Raw genomic sequence first — 11079 nt, 5'->3', positions numbered from 1 at the left:
AGCTGGTTATTTTGCTCATTAGTTGATGCAGTTTCTTCCTAGTCTCGATGGTCTTTACATTTTGGCATGATTTTGCAGCGGCTGGTACCGGTTGTTCCTTTCCATGTTTAGTGCTTCCTTCAGGAGCTCTTGTAAGGCAGGCCTGGTGGTGACAAAATCTCTCAGCATTTGCTTGTCTGTAAAGGATTTTATTTCTCCTTCGCTTATGAAGCTTACTTTGGCTGGATATGAAATTCTGGGTTGAAAATTCTTTTCTTTAAGAATGTTGAATATTGGCCCCCACTCTCTTCTGGCTTGTAGGGTTTCTGCCGAGAGATCCGCTGTTAGTCTGATGGGCTTCCCTTTGAGGGTAACCCGACATTTCTCTCTGGCTGCCCTTAACATTTTTTCCTTCATTTCAACTTTGGTGAATCTGACAATTATGTGTCTTGGAGTTGCTCTTCTCGAGGAGTATCTTTGTGGCATTCTCTGTATTTCCTGCATCTGAATGTTGTCCTGCCTTGCTAGATTGGGGAAGTTCTCCTGGATAATATCCTGTAGAGTGTTTTCCAACTCGGTTCCATTCTCCCCATCACTTTCAGGTACACCAATCAGACGTAGATTTGGTCTTTTCACATAGTCCCATATTTCTTGGAGGCTTTGCTCATTTCTTTTTATTCTTTTTTCTCTAAACTTCCCTTCTCGCTTCATTTCATTCATTTCATCTTCCATTGCCGATACCCTTTCTTCCAGTTGATCGCATCGGCTCCTGAGGCTTCTGCATTCTTCACATAGTTCTCGAGCCTTGGTTTTCAGCTCCATCAGCTCCTTTAAGCACTTCTCTGTATTGGTTATTCTAGTTATACATTCTTCTAAATTTCTTTCAAAGTTTTCAACTTCTTTGCCTTTGGTTTGAATGTCCTCCCGTAGCTCAGAGTAATTTGATCGTCTGAAGCCTTCTTCTCTCAGCTCGTCAAAGTCATTCTCCATCCAGCTTTTTTCCGTTGCTGGTGAGGAACTGCGTTCCTTTGGAGGAGGAGAGGTGCTCTGCTTTTTAGAGTTTCCAGTTTTTCTGTTCTGTTTTTTCCCCATCTTTGTGGTTTTATCTACTTTTGGTCTTTGATGATGGTGATGTACAGATGGGTTTTTGGTGTGGATGTCCTGTTTGTTAGTTTTCCTTCTAACAGAGAGGAACCTCAGCTGCAGGTCTGTTGGAGTACCCTGCCGTGTGAGGTGTCAGTGTGCCCCTGCTGGGGGGTGCCTCCCAGTTAGGCTGCTCGGGGATCAGGGGTCAGGGACCCACTTGAGGAGGCAGTCTGCCCGTTCTCAGATCTCGAGCTGCGTGCTGGGAGAACCACTGCTCTCTTCAAAGCTGTCAGACAGGGACATTTAAGTCTGCAGAGGTTACTGCTGTCTTTTTGTTTGTCTGTGCCCTGCCCCCAGAGGTGGAGCCTACAGGGGCAGGCAGGCCTCCTTGAGCTGTGGTGGGCTCCACCCAGTTGGAGCTTCCAGGTTGCTTTGTTTACCTAAGCAAGCCTGGGCAATGGCAGGCGCCCCTCCCCCAGCCTCGCTGCCGCCTTGCAGTTTGATCTCAGACTGCTGTGCTAGCAATCAGCGAGACTCTGTGGGCGCAGGACCCTCCGAGCCAGGTGTGGGATATAATCTCGTGGTGCACCGTTTTTTAAGCCGGTCGGAAAAGCGCAGTATTCGGGTAGGAGTGACCCGATTTTCCATGTGCCATCCGTCACCCCTTTCTTTGACTCAGAAAGGGAACTCCCTGACCCCTTGCGCTTCCCAAGTGAGGCAATGCCTCGCCCTGCTTCGGCTCGCGCACGGTGCATGCACCCAGTGACCTGCCCCCACTGTCTGGCACTCCCTAGTGAGATGAACCCGGTACCTCAGATGGAAATGCAGAAATCACCCGTCTTCTGCGTCGCTCACGCTGGGAGCTGTAGACCGGAGCTGTTCCTATTCGGCCATCTTGGCTCCTCGATCTCCGGTGACTGCTTTTAAGTTGCATGTATGAGTTACAGCATTTCTTTAAGGGTGACTTTGTTTAAATGCACATGATGCCTGCTAGTGTCATATTCCTTTTTCTTCTTCAGAGCCAATGAGTTAAGGACACTTCGCTAGGGATGGACCATCAATGAAGAGTTCTGAGTTGGATACCTGTTTAGAAGCTAATATTAATGTATAAACCTGCCAATGTTAGGAAGAAAATGCTAAAGTTCAATAAAAAACATTTTCTTTTACTCAAGTAAACATTTGATATCATAACCAATAGACTTTATGTTTACCTTCCCTTCAGGATTTAACCTCCAGGTAAGTTTTCTCGTATTTGATTGTGGAGTAGAGCAAGGCTAATAAAAATCATATCACAAAGTGTATGATTCAGAGGGATACCAAAATCAGTTAATAAGCACCCTGAAGAGGACTGAAATATAAGGAATTATCATCATTGATTTGTAAAGAAAAAGTCCTGTTGGTTTAAACTTTTATAACAAAATATCTGGCTAGGGTACAATGCAAAATAATAGATATAATCTTTCCTGACTTTGCAAGACTTTTGAATTTGTCACATATAACTTCTTCAGAAACCTGGAAAAATATAGGTACATCATTACCTGGTATCTGAATTAGTTGGGCTTTGACATGTGTGATAGGATTAAAGGGGTTTCACAGAGGAATTAGGGCCTCTGGGATATGGACAGAGCTGAGGAGTGAGGGTTAGGGAGGCTGTATAGGTTAGAGGCTAGGGAAACAGTTACCTTAACCTAAAATGTATGTCCTCTAAATTTTGGGGGGAAATGGATGAAATTCCCAATACTCTCTAGAAAAGCTTCCACCAACAGAGCAGTCTGAAGCAGCAAAGCAGGCACTCTGAAGAAGCCTAAGGAACCTGTTTACCAACACGTTTGGCCTCCGCAACAATTGTTCTTGGGCATAATGGCTTCTCTTCCCTCTGCCTTCCCAATCTTGCATCAATTGTTTTCACTGGCAAATTCTAATATGCAATCACACAAAAAAGAACATTCTATGCAATGGATTTCCCTACACATCTACATCACATAGGAGGGAATGCATGATGTCAGGTTAACAACAGACCATCCAGCAGTCTCCAAAGAGTGACTACTACTTGTCACCTCAAACAAATCAGACTTTGGCTTCCCCATGCAGACCACACCGAAGAATATTATCAATCTTCTGTTGACAAATGATATAAAGGAGACCATTCTCATTTATTCATTTATTTTCCCATGACAACAAGCTAGACAGTAAAATGAGAGATTGAGTGGCCAACATGTTGAACTGGAATTAGGATTAGAATCAAAAATTAAGCATATACAAAATGCTAGATTTTTATAAAGCACAGTCATGTGGGAGAAATGCAAAATTGCACACATATAAATAAAAATGGACTGACTAAATGTGTTAAAAAAAAAGAAACTATTTGGTGATATTATGAAAACAGAGTCTTAGAACTTCTGGAAACTTTAGGAATTGTTCAGCCTTCCTTTTGCCTAAAGAAAAGTACGAAGAACTCAAGTTTGAATAAAGCATCCAGGGAGGAAGCAATGATAAGGCTCTAGGAGGTGGCATTCACCTCTGCCCTGGGTCTAACTCTGTCTTACAGATGCAGAAATTTGTTTTCTTTGATGATATAGTTGATTAAATATAGAGCAGGCTGACACAAATTGGGTGCTAACAGAATACCAATTTGTTAACTTTCTATGAAAAATATAACTGCCAGAGACCAGAAAGTCATGTTGGTCTGAATAGCACCTCTGCTTCCTATAGGCAAGTGACAAGGACAGCCAAATCCCCAGTGGGTTCCATGGTTGGTGTAATGACAGCAAGATTTCAGAGCTACTATAGCAATCTCCACAAGGAGACCATCGTGGCCAAGTGTCAGAATAACCTGACCAACACCCTCTTCCCTGGATATTGTTTGGGTGGGCATTGCCAAGATCTAACTCTGTGATTCTCCCTTTTCAAGCTTTCCTGGTTGATCAACACCTCTTCTGAGCAACACCATCTTTCTCATAGTATGTGATCTTTAATCAAATGACCATCCTGTTGGTTCTGGATTTTTTTCCCATTAAATCTGTCTTAATCTGGGATGTTTTATATTAATTTTATAATTTCACTCTCATAGGGCAATCCTATAGTTCTTATTTCTGGCAACTTACTATTATATGTCATATAGGCTGTGGTAAGCCAATGACCATAGGGAAGTCTACCAATCAACTGAGGGCTTTATCAATCTCTTTCCAGTATCCTCACTTCTGAATTTAGAGAAAAGCGTAAAAGGGAAATAATTCAAAGGAAAGCCAGTGAAGATGATTTATAGTTTTGAGAATGACTCATGGAAGAGTCAGAAGTACTGGGAGAAAGCTGAGGATGGATATAATAACAGTGTCCAAAAATGCTGCATTGTTAAACATATGAGACCAAATTATTTTGCAGCATGAGGGAGTTAGGCTTGACATAAAGAAGAACTTCCTTATGGTGAGAAATGTGACAGATGAATAGGCTACCAAAAAAGGTTTGGCAATCTGCTCTGCAGAGGTTGAAAAATGAATATATTTTCACTTATTTTAGGCCATAGTTCTTTCTGAAAGCAAATAAATGGGACACATAGCATTTCAATTTTTTCTAGGTCTGAGATTCGTGGATTAATTTTCTCAGGAATAGAGTAATGAATCCTTTCACAGTTAAGTGAACTCAGAACTTCAGTTGGTGATCCAAGGTAAACTACAAATAAATTCCTTTTTGTGCCCTGGTTTTAACTTCCTTTGGGCAAAAGAAAAAAAAACTATTTGAAAAACTGATATAACCAGACTGCCACACATGCATAGAGTTGAACATGCCACATATTGTAGGTAATTTCAAGGGATTCATGAACTCCGCACAGCTTATACAATGAGCCACTTAAGGGTCAAGGGACTCAGGTTAAGAATAAAACAAAACACACAACACTCTTCCTGGAAGAAATGTATTCTTAACCCAGAAATGGGCAATTCTATTTTTACATTTATAGCAAAATTCTTCTGGAATCTTTTCCACCTCATGTATGCCTTCGCACCATAAGAAACATATGGCTTGAACATCTCTTCCTTCTCACTTTTTTCTCTTTTGTTCTGCCTCCTAATTTTTTTCTTCCTCCGATTCTCTCATACCCTCTGCTGTCTTCTTTTGTTCCTTCCACTCTGTCAGGGTCAGCCTAAAGTTTCTTCATAGCTCCCTAAAACTAAATCCACAGCAATGACAGGCTCTTAAAAACCATATTTCCTAAGTCCAGATTTATGTCACACCTACAAGTATGTGTGGCAGAACATCACCTATGAGTAATTGTACAGAATTTACATGAAAATCCCATGTTTTTCAACTTCTTGCGATTTGGGATCTGAGTGGCCTGAAAAACATAGAAGACATATGACAGCCACATGGCTTAAGTGTTTAGATCTCAGATGTTTCCCCATGGAGCCTGGCCAATGAGGAATTCTTTTGGTAGCACTTAAGTTGCCTCATTGCCATCTTTAGAAGAGCTCCTCAGGTTCTAGAGCCACTGTTGTTTTTCTAGAAAATCTGGACATTCCCTTGGGGAGCACATACTAGGCATGGTTTAATAGAGACTGGCTACACAGCTGGGGGTTGAAAGCTATGGTATAGGGTCACCACAGCATCACCATTTAGGAATGAGTGGGCTCATTTGTTTTAAAGGAATAGTTTGGGAGGGCAGGAGATTTTTATCGAATAAGGTATTAAGGAGTTCTTCCAAGTGTAGCATTTTTTTTCCCTCTGGTGTCTACACTGGCTGCTTGTTTATGTATTTTTCTTGGGCCTGAACAATTTTCAACTTTGAATTTCTCCTCTGCAATCTGTGAATAAAGAAAATGGCTCTGGATAGAGTAACTCGACTTCTCTTTGGCAGATCTCATGTATCCCAGAAAGTGACAAAGGAGAGAAAGATTGGAGAGGTGAAGGGAATTGCCAAAGGGGCAGAAATGAGAAAAGAAACTAAATTCCTTGAAGTCTTCCCTGACCCCTGGGTGATTAGAACTTTCACCTTTTGAGAATCCAGCACTGTAGGGATTCCTTAGATTATAGATAGAGCAATTATAAATCTGGAGACTGGTTAAAGGTTGATAATAACAAAACTTTAAAGATAAGCCTTCTGCTAAAAGACATAATCTGTTTCAGTTTCAGAAATCTTTTAGTAGAATCTTAGAAATGCTTTTTCCCATTATGTTCTGTCTTTTCCCATAAAGAATGCAGCGAATGAACTGAGTTCTGGAATGTATAAAGTGCAAAATAAGATCACAAAGAGAAGTAAGCCATCCAGATAAGGAAAATAACTATATCCTGCTCTTCTGCTGGCAGGATACTTTGAGTCTGGAGTTACTCTTGTTATGTGATGGTCATAAGACAACAGTGGGTGGTGAAATAAAGCAATAGCATTGGAGAGAACCCTGCTGTGGGCTTGAAAGATTTGGCATGATGACTATATTTGAGGACTCTGATGTTAAAACAGATTTGGGGTTATTTGATGGGCAGTTACTTGAACTCTATCTCCATTTCCTAATCTCTAAACAGCACAACAATACTGTTTAACAAACATTACATGAGATACTGCATGAAAAGCACATGGTGAGTACCTGGCACATAGTAAGTGCTCAATAAATAGTGGCTATTATTATTTATAGTTATTAACTTTTTTGAGAATGCAAGATGCCCCTTTTTATATCTAGATTTCAAATCTGTGTTAGAAATAATTATGCCAGCAGTATTTTTACCTCATTAGAAGAAAGTGTCATTTATTCAGTTAAAAGAAAAACTTTAGATAAATTTAACAGAGTTTAAATGAGCAAAGAATAATTCACAAATCAGACAGTTCCCAGAACCAGAATAGGTTCAGAGTGACTCCAGGGCTGCTGCATGGTCAGATAACATTTATGAACGGAAAAAGGAAAGTGATGTGCAGGAAACAAAAGGGAGGAACAGAAACAGCTGGATTGGTTACGGCTTGGAGTTTGCCTTAGCAAACCTGCTTTGAGCAGTTGGCTGCCTGTGGTTAGCTGAGATTTGGCTATTAGATTTGGCTGTAAGAGTAGGTTGCAGTTTGCTTACGCATCAAATTAGGTTACAGTTCACTCTGTATTATTATGTATTATGTATTATGTATATTATGTATTATGTATTAATGATTAATAACTAGTACTATAGATATATCAAAAGCAATGCAGATGGAGCACTAGCTTGACCCATAGTTAGACACTTACACATATTTGTTGAATTGAAAAGTATGCAAATAATTGGAGAAACTGCTCTCTCTAAATCCCGTAATTAACAGGTGGTGGCCACTTGCAACTAGTACCATTTGAATGTGAAGGTGTTCATTATTTTATGGTTGTTGAGTTATTTTCTAATTAAAATAATTTTTAAATGATGTGGAAAAACTTCATCTGTACATAGGGCAAGACCTAGTGTTTGCTGGCTAACTCCCATAAGCAGGTCACTGGCTAATTGTATTCTGGGCTCTCTCTTCCCTTCTCTCTTTTGCATTTTTCCTCTTTTTTGTCCTGCCTTCAGGGTCCTCCTGCTCACCCCTGAAGCTACAAAGTCTACCATTGTATAGCCCTGATGAGATAAGCACACTGAAACTTTTGTCCCTTCCTATCCTCACCAAAGCCAAAATGTACTTATCCAGTGTCCAATTTTCTCAGAGATCTGCTCTTTTGATAACTGATAGACTATTTGAAACTAAAATGTGGAGTAACTCATAATAACTTTTCATATTATACCTCCCGGATACCATCTGTATTTGTTGCCATTAATGTATTTATAAAATATCATTTTTGGTCCTCATTTATTCCTTTTAAATTTTTTTTATTTTGAAATAATAATAGATTTACCAAAAAAGTGGCAAAAATAGTACCGAAAGTATCCATATATTCTTTAGCAAGCTTATCGAAATGTTAACAGCTTACGTATTTCCTCATGTTTAAATTCAAAATGTTAACAGCTCGATATTTCCTCATGATTAAATTCAGGTTATATAATTTTCTCAAGAATACCACAGAAGTAGTGCTGTATTCTTCTCAGTGTATCATCTCAGGAGGTACTTTCTGTCAAATATAACATAATGAGTAGTGACCCTAACCATGATCACTTAGTTCAGTTGGTGTCTACCAAGTTTCTCCACTGTAAAGTTACTATTTTTCCTGTTGTAATTAATACATATCTTGTAACTGTCATCCAAGATGGATGAATAGGAACAGCTCCGGTCTACAGCTCCCAGCGTGATCCACACAGAAGACAGACGATTTCTGCACTTCTGACTGAGGTACCTGATTCATCTGATTGGGACTGGTTGGACAGTGGGTGCAGCCCACAGAGGGCAAGCCGAAGCATGGCAGGGTGTGGCCTCACCCGGGAAGTAGAAGGGGTCAGGGGATTTCCCTTTCCTAGCCAAGGGAAGCCGTGACAGACTACCTGGAAAAACAGGACACTCCCGCCTAAATACTGTGCTTTTCCCATGGTCTTAGCAACTGGCAGACCAAGAGATTCTCTCCTGTGCCTGGCTCGGTGGGACCCATGCCCACGGAGCCTTACTCACTGCTAGCACAGCAGTCTGAGATCAACCTGCGACGCTGCAGCCTGGTGGGGAGAGGGGCATCCACCATTGCTGAGGCTTGAGTAGGTAAACAAAGCGGCTGGGAAGCTTGAACTGGGCAGACCCCACCACCGCTCAGCAAGGCCTACTGCCTCTATAGACTCCACCTCTGTGGGCAGGGCATAGCTGAAAAAAAGGCAGCAGAAACTTCTGCAGACTTAAACATCCCTGTCTGACAGCTCTGAAGAGAACAATGGTTCTCCCAGCATGACATTTCAGCTCTGAGAATGGACAGACTGCCTCCTCAAGTGGGTCTCTCACCCCCCTGTAGCCTAACTGGGAGACACCTCCCAGCAGGGGCCAACAAACACCTCATATAGGCAGGTGCCCCTCTGGGATGAATCTTCCAGAGGAAGATTGAGGCAGCAAGATTTGCTGTTATGCAATATTTGCTGTTCTGCAGCCTGCATTGGTGATACCCAGGCCAACAAGGTCTGGAGTAGACCTCCAGCAAACTCCAACAGACCTGCAGCTGAGGGACCTGACTGTTAGAAGGAAAAGTAACAAACAGAAAGGAAGAGCATCAACATCAATAAAAAGGACATCCACTCCAAAACCCCATCTGTAGGTTACCAACATCAAAGACCAAAGGTAGGTAAAACCACAAAGATGGGGAGAAACCAGAGCAGAAAAGCTGAAAATTCTAAAAACCAGAGCGCCTCTCCTCCTCCAAAGGATTGCAGCTCCTCGCCAGCAACAGAACAAAGCGGGATGGAGAATGACTTTGACGAGTTGACAGAAGTAGGCTTCAGAAGGTCAGTAATAACAAACTTCTCTGAGCTAAAGGAGCATGTTCTAACCCATTGCAAGGAAGCTAAAAACCTTGAAAAAAGGTTAGATGGATAGCTAACTAGAATAAACAGTGTAGAGAAGACCTTACCTGACCTGAAGGAGCTGAAAACCATGGCATGAGAACTTCGTGACACATGCACAAGCTTCAGTAGCCTATTCGATCAAGTGGAAGAAAGGATATCAGTGATTGAAGACCAAATTAATGAAATAAAGCGAGAAGACAAGTTTAGAGAAAAAAGAGTAAAGGCCGGGTGCGGTGGCTCACACCTGTAATTCCAACACTTTGGGAGGCCGAGGCGGGAGGATCATGAGGTCAGGAGATCAAGACCATCCTGCCTAACACAGTGAAACCCCATCGCTACTAAAAATACAAAAAATTAGCCGGGTGTGGTGGTGGGCACCTATAGTCTCAGCTACTCAGGAGGCTGAGGCAGAAGAATGGCATGAACCCAGGAGGGGGAGCTGGCAGTGAGCCAAGATCACGTAACTGCACTCTAGCCTGGGCAACAAAGCGAGACTCTGTCTCAAAAAAAAAAAAAAAAAAGAGTAAAAAGAAATGAACAAAGCCTCCAAGAAATATGGGACTATGTGAAAAGACCAAATCTATGTTTGATTGCTGTACCTGAAAGTGATGGGGAGAATGGAACCAAGTTGGAAAACACTCTTCAGGAGATTATCCAGGAGAACTTCCTCAACCTAGCAAGGCAGACCAACATTCAAATTCAGGAAATACAGAGAACACCGCAAAGATACTCCTCGAGTAGAGCAAACACAAGACACATAAGCATCAGATTCACCAAGGTTGAAATCAAGGAAAAAATGTTAAGGGCAGCCTGAGAGAAAGGCTGGGTTACCCACAAAGGGAAACCATCAGACTAACAGCAGGTCTCTCTGCAGAAACCCTACAAGCCAGAAGAGAGTAGGGGCCAATATTCAGCACTCTTTTTTTTTTTTTAATTATAATACTTTAAGTCTTAGGGTACATGTGCACAACATGCAGGATTGTTACATATGTATACATGTGCCATGTTGGTGTGCTGCACCCATTAACTGGTCATTTAGCATTAGGTATATCTCCTAATGCTATCCCTCCCCACTTCTCCCACCCCACAACAGGCCCTGGTGTGTGATGTTCCCCTTCCTGTGTCCATGTGTTCGCACTGTTCAATTCCCACCTATGAGTGAGAACATGTGGTGTTTGGTTTTTTGTCCTTGCGATAGTTTGCTGAGAATGATGGTTTCCAGCTTCATCCATGTCCCTACAAAGGACATGAACTCATCATTTTTTATGGCTGCATAGTATTCCATGGTGTATATGTGCCACATTTTCTTGATCCAGTCTATCATTGTTGGACATTTGGGTTGGTTCCAAGTCTTTGCTATTGTGAATATTGCTGCAGTAAACATACATGTGCATGTGTCTTTATAGCACCATGATTTTTATTCCTTTGGGTATATACCCAGTAATGGGATGGCTGAGTCAAATGGTATTTCTAGTTCCAGATCCCTAAGGAATCACCACACTGACTTCCACAATGGTTGAACTAGTTTACAGTCCCACCAACAGTGTAAAAGTGTTCCTATTTCTTCACATCCTCTCCAGCACCTGTTGTTTCCTGACTTTTTAATGA

At 41.6% G+C, this 11079-nt stretch overlaps 3 annotated features.

The window, feature by feature from the left end:
- Nucleotides 1056–1688: an enhancer, noted in NCBI's record as "H3K27ac-H3K4me1 hESC enhancer chr6:83268403-83269035 (GRCh37/hg19 assembly coordinates)". NCBI's record gives its function as "activates a minimal SCP1, AML or CMV promoter by ChIP-STARR-seq in naive H9 embryonic stem cells {active_cell/tissue: H9 hESC(naive)}" and the evidence as "EXISTENCE:reporter gene assay evidence [ECO:0000049][PMID:30033119]".
- Nucleotides 1689–2321: an enhancer, noted in NCBI's record as "H3K27ac-H3K4me1 hESC enhancer chr6:83267770-83268402 (GRCh37/hg19 assembly coordinates)". NCBI's record gives its function as "activates a minimal SCP1, AML or CMV promoter by ChIP-STARR-seq in naive H9 embryonic stem cells {active_cell/tissue: H9 hESC(naive)}" and the evidence as "EXISTENCE:reporter gene assay evidence [ECO:0000049][PMID:30033119]".
- Nucleotides 8597–9098: an enhancer, noted in NCBI's record as "H3K4me1 hESC enhancer chr6:83260993-83261494 (GRCh37/hg19 assembly coordinates)". NCBI's record gives its function as "activates a minimal SCP1, AML or CMV promoter by ChIP-STARR-seq in naive H9 embryonic stem cells {active_cell/tissue: H9 hESC(naive)}" and the evidence as "EXISTENCE:reporter gene assay evidence [ECO:0000049][PMID:30033119]".

The sequence above is a fragment of the Homo sapiens genome, chromosome 6, assembly GCF_000001405.40.
Source record: "Homo sapiens chromosome 6, GRCh38.p14 Primary Assembly".
Taxonomy (NCBI): Eukaryota; Metazoa; Chordata; class Mammalia; order Primates; family Hominidae; genus Homo; species Homo sapiens.
This window is presented reverse-complemented; position numbering and strand designations above follow the sequence as displayed.